The sequence below is a fragment of the Homo sapiens genome, chromosome 6, assembly GCF_000001405.40.
Source record: "Homo sapiens chromosome 6, GRCh38.p14 Primary Assembly".
In the NCBI taxonomy this organism is placed as follows: Eukaryota; Metazoa; Chordata; class Mammalia; order Primates; family Hominidae; genus Homo; species Homo sapiens.
The window spans coordinates 27,043,351-27,062,549 of NC_000006.12; the positions used below are offsets into that span (position 1 = coordinate 27,043,351).

General features: G+C 41.3%; 1 pseudogene, besides 2 other annotated features; it reads right to left on the bottom strand.

Annotated features, from left to right (window-relative positions):
- Positions 9,068–9,117: an enhancer, noted in NCBI's record as "active region_24257". NCBI's record gives its function as "activates an Ori minimal core promoter by ATAC-STARR-seq in GM12878 lymphoblastoid cells {active_cell/tissue: GM12878}" and the evidence as "EXISTENCE:reporter gene assay evidence [ECO:0000049][PMID:35858748]".
- Positions 9,188–9,407: an enhancer, noted in NCBI's record as "active region_24258". NCBI's record gives its function as "activates an Ori minimal core promoter by ATAC-STARR-seq in GM12878 lymphoblastoid cells {active_cell/tissue: GM12878}" and the evidence as "EXISTENCE:reporter gene assay evidence [ECO:0000049][PMID:35858748]".
- VN1R13P (vomeronasal 1 receptor 13 pseudogene) lies at positions 17,020–17,917 on the bottom strand (annotated as a pseudogene).

Genomic DNA, 19,199 nt, shown 5'->3' on the forward strand with positions numbered 1-19,199 from the left:
GATCTCATTTACATGTGGAATTTAAAGAAGCTAAATTCATAGAAACAGAGAGTAGAACAGTGGTTGCCGGGGGCTGAGGAAAGGGGACAATGGGGGATTTCAGTCAAGAAGTACAAACTTTCAGTTATTAGATGAATAAGTTCTGGAGATCTAATGTACAGCAGGATGATTGTAGGTCATAATGTGTTGTATACTTGAAGTTTGCCAAGAAAGTAGAACTTAAGTGTTCTCATGACACACACAAAAAGGTAACTGTGTGGTTTGATGGGTATGTTAATTAGCTTGATAGTGGTAATCACTTCACAATGTATACTTATATCAAAACCTCACGTTGCACACCTTAAATATATACAACTTTTACTTGTCAATTATATCTCAATAAAGCTGGAGAAAAATTAAAAAACAAAATTTTATTATGGCATTATTAAAACACACTGAAAATTAGAGAGAATTGTAAAAAATAAAAATAAAAATCTGCAAACTCTTCTCAGCTTCAATAGTACCTTACATTATCTGACCTCACCCATAGTTCTCCTCCCTACCTACTTTTTCCAATTCCTTTCTTTGGGAAAATATTCTATCATTAAGAAACTGAAACACAGCAGGACCTTCTGCACATCCTCTAGAGCAGTTACCACCTGTAAATCTCATAGTCCTGCTAGCAAATATATACAGTCTGATTATTTTATGATGAAGAAAAAACAAACTGCATTGAGGAAAAGGAAATCTGAACATATTACTCTTTGATGAAACACTTGGTGTCACAGAAATAATGAGTGATCTCTGGAAAGCCAATATTTTCCTCTCAGATGAAGGTATCATTGTTATGGTATCACTTTTAGTAAAAATAATATATGGGTGGCATTTTTATTGTAATGCAATAAGGCCGCATGCTTTTATACCTACAGATGGTGATTCCAGCTGATTGCAGATTGTTTGTGATTCCAGCTAGATGGAAGTGGATTTTAAAGGTGTAGGATCAAGCTAAAATATAAAGTTGGACCAGGTCAGATTTATTGATACGGGAACATTAAGCAGAGATTATGAATTCAATTTAGCTTGAGGGGTTAGGAATGGCTCTAAATTTTGCTAGGCTAGTTGTCTGAAAAAGGGACCCAAATTGGCCTGCAATAAATGAAGCCAAAACTTCAGAACCTACTTAGGATACTGTAGAGGGACTTCTCCAAAGTCTATGAGTGATTGAAATGCTAAAGATAATTTATGGTGTAAAATCTGCTCATCCAAACCAGGAGACTACAGCTGTGACGAATTCATGAGGATAGCCCCAGCACCAGAGCTCTGTGGTGGATCTTCCCTCTTAGATGGAATCCCTAAACACAATGGGATGATTTGATCCTAAGGTGACAGGGGCCAAGAGGAGGCACTTAACCACCAAAGACAAGGTGAATATGGTTACCATAATGATCAGTAAACAGAATAGTCTGACCCAGAGAGATCTTTGGCACTCACCAGTTGATCATGGTGTCTGTGGACCAAATCTACTAAAGTTTTGTTGGATCTGTAGAAAGGGAACATCCCTAATCTAGTAAACAGAAATCTGATTTGAAACACTAGAACAGATAATCAAACAATTCCCACATTTATCACAATTCCTGTGATTTAAATCAGTTCACAGATGTGTAACCTCTTGAATGAAGGGGAAGCCAGGTCCCCACCCCAGCTACACTGCCAAAAATGTGTACTGTTAATCTATCTTCCACCCTTCCACAAAGGGACCTGCAGTCATTTACTAGTGAGAGGTGACAGCCTGCTGGCAGCCCTCACAGCCCTCGCTCACTCTCGGTGCCTCGTCGGCCTTGGCGCCCACCCTGGCTGGGCTTGAGGAGCCCTTCAGCCCGCCGCTGCACTGTGGGAGCCCCTTTCTGGGCTGGCCAAGGCCAGAGCCGGCTCCCTCAGCTTGCGGGGAGGTGTGGAGGGAGAGGCGCGGGTAGGAACCAGGGCTGCGCGTGGTGCTTGCGGGCCAGCACGAGTTCCGGGTGGGCGTGGGCTCGGCAGGCCCCGCACTTGGAGCGACCCGCCAGCCCGCCGGCCCCAGGCAGTGAGGGGCTTAGCACCTGGGCCAGCAGCTGCTGTGCTCAATTTCTCACCAGGCCTTAGCTGCCTTCCTGTGGGGCAGGGCTCGGGACCTGCAGCCCGCCATGCCTGACCCTCCCCCGCACTCCGTGGGCTCCAAGCCTCCCCGACGAGCGCCGCCCCCTACTCCACGGGCACCCAGTCCCATCGACCACCCAAGCGCTGAGGAGTGCGGGTGCACGGCGCAGGACTGGCAGGCAGCTCCACCTGCGGCCCCAGTGCGGGATCCACTGGGTAAAGCCAGCTGGGCTCCTGAGTCTGGTGGGGACTTGGAGAACTTTATGTCTAGCTAAGGGATTGTAAATACACCAATCGGCACTCTGTATCTAGCTCAAGGTTTGTACACACCCCAATCAGCACCCTGTGTCTAGCTCGGGGTTTGTGAATGCACCCATCGATACTCTGTATCTAGCTACTCTGGTGGGGACTTGGAGAACCTTTGTGTCCACACTCTGTACCTAGCTAATCTAGTGGGGACGTGGAGAACTTTTGTGTCTAGCTCAGGGATTGTAAACGCACCAATCAACACCCTGTCAAAACGGACCAATCAGCTCTCTGTAAAATGGACCAATCAGCAGGATGTGGGTGGGGCCAGATAAGAAAATGAAAGCAGGCTGCCCGAGCCAGCCGCGGCAACCTGTTGGGTTCCCTGTTTAGGCTGTGGAAGCTTTGTTCTGTTTTACTCTTTGTGCTGAATTTTGCTGCTGCTCATTCTTTGGGTCCACACTGCGTTTGTGAGCTGTAATGCTCACCGCGAAAGTCTGCAGCTTCACTCTTGAAGCCAGCGAAACCACGAACCTACCCGGAGAAAGGAACAACTCCAGATGCGCCGCCTTAAAAGCTGTAACACTCACGCGAAGGTTTGCAGCTTCCATCCTGAGCTAGGAAGACTACGAGCACATCCGGACATCATGAAGGAACAAACTCCAGACCTGTCACCTTTAAGAACTGCTCACTGCGAGGGTCTGTGGCTTCATTCTTGAAGTCAGTGAGACCAAGAACCCACCACTTCTGAACACACTAGGATGCCATGTAGTGGGGAAGGAAACTCAATTGAACTTTTCAGATGTTAGTGAACAGTGGCTCTGAATTGACATGAACCAATGGAAACCTGAAATGTCACTGAAACACTAGCGTAGGGATTTAATAAGGTCAGGCGATGAATGCAGTTTTCTCTCAGCTTCATGATTTCTTATGAAAAATCCAATGTTATTTGAGAAACTTTGTTTTCTTACAAGTAGTCCCAGGCCACTTTAGAGGTTTTTTTCCTTTGGTTTAATTTTCAGAAATTTATAATGTGTCTCGGTATGGATATTTCTGGGTTTATCCTGCTTAGCGTTCTCTGAACTTACTGAATTGGGAGGTTTATGTCACCAAATTTATAAAAGCTTTCAGCTCCTTTTTCTCGTCAAATCTTAGGCGCCGGGCGCGGTGGCTCATTCCTATAATCCCAGCACTTCGGGAGGCCGAGGCGGGGGGATCACGAGGTCAGGCGATCAGGACCATCCTGGCTAACACGGTGAAACTCCGTCTCTACTAAAAACACAAAAAAATAGCCGGGCGAGGTGGCGGGCACCTGTAGTTGCAGCTGCTCTGGACGCTATGGCAGGAGAATGGCGTGAACCCAGGAGGCGGAGCTTGCAGTGAGCCAAGATCGTGCCAATGTATTCCAGCCTTGGCAACAGAGCGAGACTCCATCTCGGAAAATAATAATAATAATAATAATAATAATAATAATAATAAAGATTTTACAGGCAATAGATGTAGAGTTCATCTTTCTAGTTCTATTTTACTGGTAACAAAATACATGGAAGTCAAAGGCAGTGCATGTGGTTATTAGCCACATCAATGTGTTCTAAAATTCAGTATTTCCAGTTTCTATTCCCTGCTTCCCACTCCTTTAGATGTGCAACAATTTTAATTATGTTTATTTTTAATTATTTTCTGATTAAGATTGTAGATTTAAGTTTTCTCAACTCAATTTTGACTTTTCAGAGAGAAGTACAGAATAGCACTTATTTGGACAACTCAAATTCCAGGGTATCCTTAGTTATGTGCCACTGTTGTACCTGAGCGAGTTAGAGAAAACGCCACACTTTGAGACGAATTAAGAGTCCGGTTATTTAGCCGGCGGCCAAGAGACGGCTAATGCTCAAAATTCTCTAGGCCCTGAAGAAGGGGCTAGATTTTCTTTTATACTTTGGTTTAGAAAGGGGAGGGGGATCTAGTTAAAAGAATTTTACAGAAATAAAGTAGGCAAAAAGTTAAAAGGATAAATGGTTACAGGAAAGTAAACAGTTCCAGGTGCAGGGGCTTTAAGACTATTACAAGGTGACAGACTCGGGGCTTTGGGCGTTATCAATCAGATGAATTCCTAGGAATTCCGGATATAGCTTGCCACAGTATCTTATCAGTTAATTGCATTCTTGGGTGTGCTGGGAGTCAGCTTGCACAAGTTAAGTCCTTGAGGAAGGGGCTGCCAGTGAAAGAGCCAAGATGGAGTGAGTCTGGCTCTCTTAGCTAAGGGAGAGTCAATTCAGGTGGAAACAAGGCTAGGTGATTAAAGGAAAAGGGAGAGTCTAAAAAGGTTAGTAAAAACAAGGTTGGGCATTACATCACTAGTTACACATCTCCTATTTTCTTTTTTTTTTTTTTTTTGAGATAGAGTCTCGCTCTGCCGCCCAGGCTGGAGTGCAGTGGCGCAATCTCGGCTCACTGCAAGCTCCGCCTCCCGGGTTCACGCCATTCTCCTGCCTCAGCCTCCTGAGTAGCTGGGACTACAGGCGCCCGCCACCAAGCCCAGCTAACTTTTTGTATTTTTTTAGTAGAGACAGGGTTTCACCGTGTTAGCCAGGATGGTCTCGATCTCCTGACCTCATGATCCGCCCGCCTCGGCCTCCCAAAGTGTTGGGATTATAGGCGTGAGCCACGGCGCCCAGCCCTCATGTCTATTCTTAATACTCAATAATATTTTCTTCAGTATTTTTATTTTTTAGAGACAAGGTCTCTGTCACCCAGGCTGGAGTGCAGTGGCATGATCATTGCTTACTGCAGCTTTGAACTCCTGGGCTCAAGGGATCCTTCCACCTGAGCCTCCCAAGTAACTGGGATTATAGGCGCATACCATCATGCCTAGTTAATTTAATTTAATTTTTTTTTTTTTTTTTTTTTTGGTAGAGATGAGGGTCTCACAAAATTGCCCAGGCTGGTCTTGAACTCCTGGGCTCAAGCATTTCTCCCACCTTGGCCTCTCAAAAGCTGGGATTACAGGTGTGAGCCACCATCTGGCCCATGATTCAGTTTTTGTTGTTGTTGTTGTTTTGAGATGCAGTCTCACTCTGTCACCCAGGCTGGAGTGTAGTGGTGCCATCTCAGCTCACTGCAACCTCTGCCTCCCAGGTTCAAGCAATTCTCTGCCTCAGCCTCCCAAGTAGCTGGGATTACAGGCGCCTCGCTAATTTTTTCATTTTTAGTAGAGACAGGGTTTCACCATCTTGGCCAGGCTGGTCTCAAATTCCTGACCTCAGGTGATCCACCCGCCTCGGCCTCCCAAAGTGCTGGGATTACAGGCGTATGATTCAGTTTTAATATGTCATTCTTACTATTATTTCCAGATCCTTATATTTTTTTCCTTTTGAGTCAAATACCAACACTTACTTTGTCTTACTTTCTATGTTAGATACTAGGAAAAGGCTGCCACAGAAAAGTTATGAGACTGAGATAGATAGCATGCTCCTTGCCTTCATGTAAGCCACAGTGATATGAGAAAGAGAAGTTCCTAAATTACAGTGTAATATAATAACATAAATTATGTAAAAGCCATGTAGACAGCCAAAAAGCCAAACCAGAAAAGAAGTAAGCGTTCACCATTTTTAAGTAGAGGGGTGAAAAACCCAAATGTTTACAAGGGCTACAACAGAGACATGGTAAAGGGACTCTAAAACATGGGGGGAAAGCCTGTCTATCAATTTTAACATTTTGTGCTATAAACGTGTAAAAAGTAAAATAGTATCAAGTATTTTTCAAAATGGCCTCATCAGATATCTGATTGCCAGAACTATGTATTCTCACCAAATATGTGTATTTAATGATTCCATTTTAAGAAATTAATAACTGAATTATTCATTTAAATTAATGTAGAACCAGATTATTTTGTAGCTCTTTGATGATAAAGACACTGATAGCATTGTGAGAAGTGCAAAGACATTAATGAATGATGTCTAGAAAGAAGCCACAAATTGTTTTCAAACTTATTCATTTTGAAAAACAATGCAATCATATGTTTAATAAATAAGACACTACAGAAATATACAAAATGAGATTTATGAAATTCTATGTACTATGACTCTATTTTCTTAGTTTCTGCCAACACTTAAGAGTTTCTTTTGCATTCCTCCAGAGATTGTTCATGGATATAATAACAACTTAAATATATATTCCACATTTTTAGAATACTATTACTCTTGCATTGCTTCTCTTTTGTTAATTAAATTTACACCTTAGATATCATTCTGATACCGAAGGGGGGCAAGGAAGTGCTGGGAGGAGACGGGTGGGTCCCTCTCAAGGGCTCCACCCCCGGGCCTGTGCCCACAGACCTAGGTGAGGACAGGCACTCGGCACTCCTGCTTTTGCACCCAAATGTTGCCTTTCCCAGGACCACCCTGGCCCGCCACGCCCCTATCCTGTGCCTATAAAAACCCCAAGACTCTAGCAGGCAGACACACACGCGGCTGGACGTCAAGACAAACACATTGGCAGAGGAACACACAAGCACCTGGATGTGGAGAGGGTGTCGAGAGCACGCTGACAGGTACCGGCAAGCCTGCAGGCCATCGACCGACCGGCCGAACGACTTGGAGTTTGGTCAGGGCGGTTGGAGGAGAGCCGGGGCTGCTGAGCGGCAGGAATCCAGGGGAAAACCTTTCCACTCCATCCCTCATCTGCTGAAAACTACCTCCACTCAATAAAACCTTGCACTCATTCTCTAAGCCCAGGTGTAATCTGATTCTTCCAATACACCAAGGCAAGAACCCGGGATACAGAAAGCCCTCTGTCCTTACGACAAAGAAGAGGATCTAATTGAGCTGGTTAACATAAGCCGCTTATAGGCAGCAAAACTAAAAGAGCACAGGGCGCACGCCCACTGGGGCTTCAGGAGCTGTAAACATCTACCTCTAGATGCTGCCGTGGGGTTGGAGGCCCAAGCTTGTCCATCTGTATGCTCCCCTAGAGGTTTGAAGAAGCGAGCCACTCTCCCTGTTGAACGCCCTGCAAAGAGACCAGGGGAACTTTTCCCGTTTCAATTCCGTATCAGTACATTTTGAACTTCCTTATTTTTTCATATATTCTGTAAAATTCCTTTGTATAAATGGATACTTAATGACTATTTTTCAAATAGCCAGAAAACTAGCTCATTTTGCTAGATATCTAATTGTGTTTATAAAATAACAAATGCTTCAATGTGTAGTAATTTTCCTGTTGTAATTCTCACAAGAGCAAGTATATCTGTAGAATCAAGGCCTAGAAGAGAAACTCTGGATCCAAAGAATAAATACACTAGTAATTTTGGTAACATTTACCAAATAGTTTTCTTTTACTCTGCCACTGGAAGAGTTGTTGTGAAAGACAAACATTAGAATTAAAGATGTTTGCAGCTGGGTGCAGTGGCTCTTACCTGTAATCCCAGCACTTTGAGAAGCCGAGGCAAGCGAATCACTTGAGGTCAGGAGTTTGAGACCATCCCAGCCAACATGGTGAAACCCTATCTCTACTAAAAACACAAAAAATTAGCCTGGCGTGGTGGTGTGCGCATGTAATCTCACCTACTCAGGGGGGATGAGGCAGGATAATTGCTTGAACCCGAGAGGCGGAGGTTGCAGTGAGCCAAGATGGCACAATTTGCCCTAAACCTACATGCAGAAGAATGAAATTAGACCCTCATCTCACACCGTATACAAAAATCAACTCAAAATGAGTGAAAAAGCTTAAATGTAAGACCTGAAGCTGTAAAACTACTAGAAGAAAACAGGGGGAAAGCTCCATGACATGGATCTGAGCAATGATTTTTTGGACATGACTTCAAAATCACAGGCAAACAAAAGCAAAAATTAAAACGTATGATTATGTTAAATCAAAAAGCTTCTGCACAGCCAAGGGAATAATAAAGAAACAATCTATGGAATGGGAGAATATATTTGCAAACCATACATCTGATAAGGGGTTAATGTACAAAATATATAAGGAACTCGAACAACTCAATGTTAAGAAAACAAGAACCTAATTAAAAAGTAGGCAAAGAACCTGAATAGACATTTCTCAAAAGAAGACATACAAATGGACAACAGGTACGTGAAAAAATGCTCAACATCACTAATCATGAGGGAAAGGCAAATTAAAACCATAATGAAAAACTACCTCACACTTGTTAGAACAGCTGTTATAAAAAAGACAGAAGATAACAAGTGTTGGAGAGAATATGGAGAAAAGAGAAATCTTGTACACTCTCTGTGGAATGAAAATTAGTACAGCCGTTTCAGAAAACAGTATGGAGATTACACAAAAAATTAAAAATAGAACTATCATATGATCTAGCAATCCCACTATTGGGTATACAGTCAAAGGAAATGAAATCAGTATACTGAAGAGATATCTGCATTCTCATGTTTATTGCAGCGTTATTCAAAACTCGTGCAGGAATGTTCACAGCAGTTTTATTTGGAATAGCCAAAACTGAAAACAATCATAATGTCTCTTAATAGGTGAGTGGTAAAACATAATGTGGCAATTTGTACAATGGAGTACTATTCAGCCATAAAAAATTAAACATTGATACATTCAACAATTTAGATAGATCTTGAGGGCATTATGCTTGTAGCAGGACGAGCCTCAGATAAAACCTCTCAGACACCGAGTAGTAGAAGGAAGGGTTTTATTCAGCTGGGAGCATCGGCAAGCTACTGCCTTAAAATCCGAGCTCCCTGAATGCACAATTTCTGTCCCTTTTAAGGGCTCACAACACTAAAGCTTTCACATGAAAGGGTTGTGACTGATTTGAGCAATCAGGCAGTACGTGACAGGGGCTGCATGCACCGGTGGTCAGAGAGAAACAGAACAGGGCAGGGAGTTTCACAATGTTCTTCTATACAATGTCTGGAATCTATGAATAACATTGGTTTCTAAGTTATGAGTTGATTTTTAACTACTGGGTTTAGGCCAGGCAGGCCCAGGCCTGGTTTTGGGCCTGGCGCCGGGCTGCCTGTCTTTGGTTTTACTTCCTTGTTGTTTTTTCTTAAAACAGGTACTGGGTATAAAATAATATAAAACAATATGAGAGGGTCTCTCTCTTCCCTCATGCTGAGTGGAAAAAAATCTCTGAAGTTCACATACTGTATGATTTTATATATGTATGTGTTTATATATTTCATATACACGTACAAATACATGACAACATTTGTATACATATACAGACAAAATTGCAGTGATGTAAAACAGATTAGCGATTGCCGGGGATTATAAATGATGGGTATAGGGAGGATACGAGGTTAGGAGGTGGACGTAAATATAAAGGGATATCAGAAGGGAGATTTTTGTGGTGATGGAATAATTATTTATATTGATCATAATGGAGTTTGTACAAATCTAAACATTATTAAACGGCTTAGAACTATACATATACACACTAGTAATGGCAATTTCCTGGTTTTGTTATTGTACTTTAGTTATGTAAAATGTGACCATGCAGGTAAACATGGGGTCTCTGTACAAACTTTGCAACTTCCTTGAATCTATAATTATATCAAAATAATAGTAAAAGAAACAAGTTTGAAAATGTAGGTAGTTATTGAAGCATGCCTGATGTGTACTAGACGGGCATCTGACTGTTCTTTATAGCTCTGCGTGTGTATGCAGATCTCCAAGATAACAAAAGAAATAACTTTAGGGAAAAAATGTCCATTAAAAGTCATGTTCTTCCTTTTCTGATCAGCTAAGAGTAAATGCAAGGAATCTGGTGACAGTAGTAAAGATTCAAGTGACAAAACTAAGAGAAAGAAAAAGAAACGAAAGAAAGCCACGAGCCCAAGGAGCAAACAAGGGATAGCCCTCAAGCTCCAAAAAAAAAAATAACTGGAATTGTTTGTTTCGTGGTTTTGAATAGGTACTGCACTTCTAGGGTTTAATAACCACATATATTAAAAAATACAATAAACAATCCTGTTTCCACCTCAGTCCCAAACCACCCAGTTACCCTACCAACTATAAGCAATCACTCCTATTAGTGTCTGTGTACTCATCTGTGTACATAAATATATAAACATGAATTCTTTTTGCATCCTTTTATCTCACATGGCCAATAGTTGCATGTTCCTTCCATGGTTCTCACCATTTGGGCACCCTTACCTATAGGGAAGTGGAGTGGCTGAAACTACTCAGCAGGTGCTTCTGTGCACTGTTGACTGAGAAAGCTGAGGTCAAACCTGCTTCCCTGGGAATTCCCTGCTACACTGGGAATTCCACCATGGCTGCATCTTCCATGAAGGTGAGTTGGTCTGTCACTTTGAAATGTCATGCATGAGTCTCTCAGCACAGTTGCCCAGGGGCTGAGCTGGGCCAGAGCAGCTGTGGGTAGGCAGAATTCCTGTTCCTTTCCTGGAATGGAGCCTTCACCCTTTCTAATGAGAAACACAAAGGCCCTAAGACTGGGAACTCTTATTGTCAGTGAGACCTACTTCAACTGTCTTGTAATTGAGCCACCCCACTTGCATTTTCTGTCCCTACTTACTGCTTTATTTTTTTTTTCATTTTTACTCCTCTTTTTTTTTTTTTTTTTTTTGAGACAGAGTCTTGGTCTGTCACCCAGGCTGGAGTGCAGTGGGGCAATCTCAGCCCACTGCAACCTCCGCCTCCCGGGTTCAAGCCATTCTCCTGCCTCAGCCTCCCTTGTAGCTGGTATGACAGGTGCCCACCACCACACCAGTTAATTTTTGTATTTTTAGTAGAGACGGGGTTTCACCTTGTTGGCCAGGCTGGTCTTGAACTCTTGACTTCATGATCCACCCGCCTTGGCCTTCTAAAGTGCTGGGATTACAGGCGTGAGCCACCACACTCAGCCACTCCTCTATTTTTTTTAAAGAAAAGCTTATGAAGATCTGACATTGCATGTTTTGTTTATTGACCTTGCTCCTTCCCCAATATATTCATTGAGACCAGGATTATTTGGTAGGGGTAAGGAGTGTAGGGGAGCTGTTTCCATTTGATCACTGCTCTATTTCCTTGCTTCTAGAGCAGTGCCTGGCATAGTTAGAAACTCAGGGTTATTTTCTTAAGTGAAAAAATTGAATTAATCTTCATCCGCCCCCAAACAGGGAGCTCCTCAAAGGATGTCCTTTACTTCCTTCCATGGATGATTCAGAAGATCAAAGACAATCTGTCAGCCTCAAGCACATTGTTCTGTAACTGGCCAAATTTCTAGTCCATTCTCTACATTTCCTCTTTCCCCCCAAATATTTTCAGTTTTGTTAAAATCAGATAGACATTCAGACCTCCTTTTCTTTTTCCTAAATATGTCCCACTGATTACTACTAGCACAGAGTATTTCATGTTCTCTTTATGTAGCAAAGAGGACAATTGATTTATTTTGCCTCATGAAGACAAATTTGCTCTTTCTTTGGCTGAAGCATGACACTTTTGATCATGGAATGCACTAGGAGCTGACTGCAATAAAATGTTCCTCCAGATTGTGGGGGCAGAATCATGCTTAATGCTTTCTGTCCCCAAAGCACTGCTTTTTGTATTTTCATTTGTCCTGGTACAGAAACACTGGTTTTAGAGTCCTAGCCAAATAAGCCAATGTGAGAGGGGTCTCTTTTATTTAATTTTTAAATTTAATTTTATTTTACTTTTTATAGAGAAAGAAGTCTCACTATATTGCCCAGGCTTATCTCAAACTCATGGCCTCAAATGATCCTCCCACCTCAGCTTCCCAAAGCACTAGGATTACAGGCATGAGCCACCACACCCGGCCCCCTTTTTACCTCAGTGATCAGAAGGATACAGTGTCCAAGGGCTGCAGTGTCCACACTATTCTCTGCTCACCCAGGGAGAAGACCTTTTGGACTTCCCAATGAGGCCACTTGTGTCTTACTTTTGATGAGACTTCCTTTTCTATTCTCATCTGGATCTTTATTCCCTCAGAAATGTCCATCTATTGAAGGAAATGGCTTCCAAAATTATCTCCTGGCTAAAATTTTCTCCCTTTAATTTAAATCTGCACTTGAAACCATATAGGATGAGATATTCCCATTCAAAATGCTAGCAAAAGGACCTCATAGGAATAATCACCACCATATTTTTAATCTGTGGGGCACACTAAAAAAGGAATCACTTTACTTATCCAATTTCATTTTTACATAAATCTATGTGTGATTACCTGCCATTTACAAAGGAAGCTAGACCTCCTAGGAGTAAAATTACTTTCCTAAAACTACACTCATGCTAAGGGGCCAAGCCAGATGTGGAAAGCAGATACTTTTCTAACTGTAAAACATGTGCTTTTGTCCATCTTAGCTCAAGGTTCCTCCATCAGTTCTTCTGCACAGCTGCTCACTCATTCATTCAACAAATATTTCCATATTTATGAATTCCTTTATCCTTTCAATAGACGTCAAGTCAGAAACTTCTAAGTGCCTAGCACCTGAGTTCAAAACTTCAAAATTTTTCTGACTTCTGCTTCTCCATGGAAATATCCATACTGTGTGAAGTTCTTGCTGTGCAATCCCTCGAATCTGTCTCTTTCCTTTTATTCACTCACTTGCCCATTCCTTGTACACATAGTGAAGGAATTTCTGGATCAGACCCTGTGATAAGACCTGGGTCACAGCTGCGTATTTGTCCTCACTGTCATCAGAAACCAAAGAGAAAAATATGGTCCAGGGTTTCTTTATTTCAACATCTTCCTAACTGGTCTCTCCTTCTGCAGTCTCACCACCTTCCACACTTCCTAAAAGTCCACTGTGAGGACAATTCCTAACTTTCAATTTGGCAATATAAACTGCTCTGCTCAAAGTTCTTTGAAGGATCTTCAGTCTCCTTAATATGGATTTCAAACCATTTCACATCATCATCTCCAATTTTCCAGGCTTGTTGTTTAAGTTAGTTCTACCCTAAATCACATAAATAGGCTCTTTGCTTTTCCTCATAGAGGAATTCTCATGTCCATACCTTCCCCCTCCACCCTCTGGTACCTCCCTAACTTGGACTTCATGGGTTATTCTTCATTGCTTCACTGTGATGTGATATGGCTTTCTCAGAACTGCTGTATCTCTTGATTTAGTCATGTTTTATGTTTTTTTCTATTTTGTTAGAATGTTGTCATGTGACTTCCTTTCTCAGTCCCCATCCTTTGCAGGGCAATAACCATCATATTCCATTAACACAATGCCCAGCAACCTGGCATATGAACTTCAACCAAATTGAGCTGGGTAGATTGGAAAAAGCTGGGTTATCTTGAGTAACAGCGCTTAGAACAACTGCTGTTAAAAACAGCTGTGGAGCTAAGAAGAATGGGGGAAATACCAAAATAAGAGGCAAATCAGAACAGGGACAATTTGTTTGTTGCTGGCAATTTCCATAAGAGGCAGTCTTCTTTACCTAGGTAATAAATGGTACCTTGAATCAGTAGCTTTGTCTAGTTTGGACCAGTAAAGAAATGTTTCCCTCTCAAATGTCAATGCGATTACTCACTAAAAGCATACATAATTCATGCTATTAAGTGTTTTCTATATTATATATTTAAAATAAATAAATAAATAAATATTAAGTACGGCGAATAGACTTGTAGCATTCTTGCTCAACCTGTTTATCTGTTAAGCCTGTTTATCTGTTTATCTCATGAGATTTTCTTTTTCTTTTCTTTTTGCACTGTCCAGCCCTCCCTGATGCTCAGTTTATTTGCAGAAAGGTTGGGGCCACCTAGAGAAGTCTTCACTGGCTTCATCATGTGGGTCCTACACTTGAATTACCAGCATTCAGATAATCAATAGTGTCTACAGTGGTCTATCTTTTCTAAGATGAAAAGAACTAATGATAGGTTAGGCCAGTGCTTTCAAACTGTGTTTAAGTTTCCATTAGTTGATTCACTGTAATTAAAATGTTTTTTAAATTAATAAATCTAGGGCTGGACACAGTGGCTCACGCCTGTAATCCCAGCACTTTGAGAGGCCAAGGCAGGTGGATCACCTAAGGTCAGGAGTTCGAGACCAGCCTGGCCAACATAGTGAAACCCCGTCTCTACTAAAATTACAAAAAATTAGCCTGATGTGGTGGTGGGTGCCTGTAATCCCAACTACTCGGGATGCTGAGGCAGGAGAATCACTTGAACCTGGGAAGCGGAGGTTGCAGTGAGCCGAGATTGCACCATTGAACTCCAGCCTGTGTAACAGAGGGAGACTCTGTCTCAAAAATAGATAAATAAATAAATAAATAAATCTAATAAAGAAACAACATGATACTTACTTTTAAAAGTTGAATAACTTGTAGATTATTAAAGCTGTAACTTTATATCATTTGCACTAATAATAGCATAAAGTCATGAAAATAAAAAAGACTTGGTTTTGAATTATAAAATAACTTTATTGTTTTGAATTCTAAAAGAAACAGCATGTGTACATGATTTTAAAAACAGTAAATTAGAGACTATCTGAACAGTAAATTTTTATTTACATTAATTAGTAGTATAAAGTCATGAAATTAAAAAAGTTTGGTTTTAGTTATAAAAATTTATTGTTTTATTTGAATTCTAAAACTCCTCAAATTTGAATTCTAAAATTCTAAATTTTTATTTTAAAATGTTCATATTGTTTTATTTGAATTCCAAAATTTCTTTGTTTTGATTAAAATAGCCATGGAAAAACATTTAGAACTATATATGACATATATATGGCATGACTAGATAAAGAGATATAATGTATAGCTTGAAACAATCTCCAGATTCCTATGAACAGATAGGTGAAATATACCTCCTCCAAACAATTTGATGAACATAAATCTGAATGTATCAATTGCTAAATGCTAATTAAAATTACTTTTATCCATTTTATGTTTTGAGATACCTTGTAGGCATTCTTTTGAAGTAACATTTTCCAATAAATAATGAAAATTAGGTTGTAAACAACATCATGGGTGAGGACTGTGAGTGTCAGAGGTGTTGAGGAGGAAAAAGGGTTTCTGTTTGAGTCTTGTTCTTTTCAACAGCAGAGGAAGAGGAGCGACTGAAGAAGAAAGAGGGTGGAGGTGAAGATGTGGAGCTCATATTGAATCTTTGGAAAAGTGAAAATGGCTTTTAGTATCCAGTAAGAAGAGTAAATAGAAGAATTTTAGCCACAAATGGAAAAGAAAACGTCTCTTCCTCAGCTCAAAGAGACAAGCTCTTGTCAGTTCCTGTAAAATTTAATGCTGGTGGGCCTGGAAGCACATTTCTCAGACACCCTAGCAAATAGGAATGACCAAGTAATATAATTTTGCCAATAAAAATATGCACAATATTTGGTGGAAATTTCTCACAAAATCTTGCTTTCCTCACATAAATGTTTCATCTTCATGCTTGTTGCTTTCTCTTTTTCCTTCCTATTCAGAAAGGAGATGGATCAATAATTGTACAAGCATGAAGACAAATGCCATATCACAGCAATGGTGAAAAGAAAGCCTAGAAGAAATTTGTCTTCCCAACTTTTTTGGAACCCCTGAATCAGATTGACTGCCTCGAAATAGACTTCTTTTTAAACACACAAAAAAAGTAATCTCATTTTTAACAGCCATAAGAATATACCTTGTGGACCATAAATACTGTAAAATTATTTGACCAGGGCCCCTAGCTGTTCTATTCCCAAGTGCTTTGTTGTGTTTTTGCTGTGGCTCAGTATCCCATGAACTGTTTCCAGCTAATAACTGAGTGCATAAGGGATACTAAGACAGACAAAGTTTCTGGGAGACTAAGGACTCCTCCGACAGCTGAATTTAGTGTCAGGCCTTCCTTGCTTAACTCAACTTACACTGCAAGGTGGCCTAGGTTGCTTCCATCCAAACTTCTTCCCTCTATCCTTGCACTGTGGTCTGATGATTCTCTCAGCTGACATTTTCTCTGACAGGTATTTCCCCTAATAACACTTAATTTTGTCTTGATGTCTGGTTCTGGGAGGACCCAGCTTAGCACACTATTTTTATAAGACACTGCTAATTTATGCAGGACAAACTTTTTGCTGGGCAAAGACAAAAAAATCACCAAATAATATACTGTCATGTTCACGACTATACCAATTGTCATGTTGAGGTCTGAAGGGAGTGGGTGGATGAGCAGAAAGAACACTCGGGGGGGGGGGGCACAGGCAGGTGAAAGATGCTTTATTCAGTAGTAACTCTCATCAACAGCTTACTCACACTAGCTTTCTCACACTGTCTGCCTTGTCTAGCTGTCTGCTACAGCTCTGCAGCTCCTCTCAGCAGCCCCCTTCCACACGCAGCTGTATGGCCGGCTCTCCCCTGCCTTCAGGGTCATCAGCTTAACTCTTTCTCTCTCTGGTCATGAGCCGAGTTGTGCTGTGCCCTGGCTCCCCACTGTCTATCTGCAAAGAGGGACAGCTTTGATTCTCTCTTTCTCTGGGCACGAGTGCACCTGCACAGTGTCAACAGGGCAATTATACATTTTATAGACAACAGTGGCTCAGAGCCAAGTGATGGCCTTCCCATGTTATGGCTACATAGTTGTGTTTACATTATCCATGGAATCGTGCGCCTGTGTTCCAAACTCGCTGAGTCATTCTGGCCCAGATGACTGCCTCGGCCTATTCCTTGACCAAAGCACAGCCATGTTTCTTACATATACCTTTAGTTACTGGAGGAGTTAATGTAGAAAGTAATTTTCCCAACTTCTTAGTGAGTGTGCCAGCAGTTAACCAAATGGAATCCCTGCTGATCAGCATGAAGGGACTGGCACAGGCATAACCAACTGTTAGAAATATTTTCATACTTAATATCATAAAATCATTTGTCAAGCTGGAACCTATGTAGAAGGAGAAAATAAAATCTGCCCAATAAAAGAAAGGAAACAGGTCATGAGAATGAGAGTACTTTGAGTAGCTCTGATCTCTGGGCTGGAATTATTTGCAAACCTGGAGCTCTGAAGGCAGGAGACATGCTTGTGATGTTTATACAGATGATAAGCCATGGACCCACTTCTCCAGCCCATGAGACTCTGAAAGATGATATCACAAAGAGCCATGAGAGTGAGAAAAACCCACCAAACTTTCCCTTTGCTTAGATGGTGGCATATAGCAATAACTAATATGTGGTCTAATTTCAGACCTATTCATGCTATTAACTGCTCTAAGGTAGCAGAGCAAGTTGGAGCTTATCAGAAAATTAAAGATCCAAAAGAGGAAGAGATAAGGAAGAACTTGCCAGGCAGTCCGTAGTTTGACCACGAGGTGGTCTTGGGACTGATGGTGATGGCCTGTACCACACTGAGGAGACAGGTGGTGCAGACGGAAAGGCCCCAAGCTACCTTCCCTAAATAAATTGTAGTTTTACAACCAGCATTATCTAGGAAGTTACTGAAATGAAAAGCTGACACTACATCTGAGATTCCTCTGACACAAAGTGTCATTGCATTAGTAAAAGCCAGGCGGATAAGAATAAGGTCTATGGGTTTTTTCTTGGAACTCATGACAAACATGTACACATGCTTCGCAAACAAAAAGAAATTCCCTCCAATGCCAGATCCAGTAAAAGAAATAAAGATTATTCCCTGGATGGAGTTATTCCAGATCATTCTCTGACTTCATGGACAAAACCAAGAGGAACCTTTTGAGAAAAACAAACAAAGTGAGGATAACTAGTTTGTTCTGAATTGCTATAACAGAATGCCTGAGACTGGATAGTTTATCAAGAAAAGAAGTTTATTTAGCTTGTAGTATTTCAGGCTGGGAAGTTCAAGGGCATGGCCTTGGCTTCTGGTAAAGTCTTTCATGCTATTTCATAACATGGTTGGGGGAAGTAGGCACATCTGAAGAATCAAAACCCAAGGGGTATCCTGGCTTTATAACAACACATTGTCCTGCATTATACGCCATCTACCTGATTCTACCAACTTCACTGTTTTAGTCTGTTTTCTCTTGCTCATAACAGAATACCAGAAACTGGGTACTTTATAAGAAAAGCAATTTATTTCTCATAATTATGGACACTGAGAAATCCAAGGTCAAATGGCCACATCTGATGAACACTTTTTGCTGGTGGAAACTTTCTGCAGAGTCCTAAGGTGGTGCAGGGCATTACGTGACCAGGGGGTTAAGCATGCTAGCTTGGGTTTCTCTTCCTCTTCTTATAAAGCCAGCAGGCCTAATCCCATGATAACACATAATCCATTCACTCATTAATCTATGAATGGATTAATCCATTCACGAACACAGAGCCCTCATGATCCAATCACCTCTTAAGGGCCCCACCTATTAATACTTCTACATTGAAGATAACACTTTTTTTTTTTTTAATTTTTTTTCGAGATGGAGTCTTGCTCTGTTGCCCAGGCTGGAGTGAAGAGGTGCGATCTTGGCTCACTGCAATCTCCACCTCCTGGGTTCAAGCAATTCTCCTGCTTCAGCCTCCCGAGTAGCTGGGATTACAGGCACGCACCATGCCCAGCTAATTTTTGTATTATTAGTAGAGACAGTCTTTCTTCATGTTGGCCAGGCTGGTGTTGAACTCCTGACCTTGTGATCCACCTGCCTCGGACTTCCAAAGTGCTGGGATTACAGGCATAAGCCACTGCACCTGGCCAGGATAACATTTTAAAATGAGTTTTGGAAGCGACAAATATTGAAACCATAGCAATCGCCTTCTGTATATGTCCACATATATGTGGCAATATTCCTCCCCACAATCCTACTATACTTCATGTATTTCCTAAAAAATAGTAAATTCCTACTCTGTAATCCTGAATATTACCTTCCGTCACTTCCAATATTCGACCACCTCTATGTTATCCTGAACATTGTGAATTCCCCTTCCAGATCTCCTGGATATAGCATGTGCATCCATCTCCCAATTGCTGT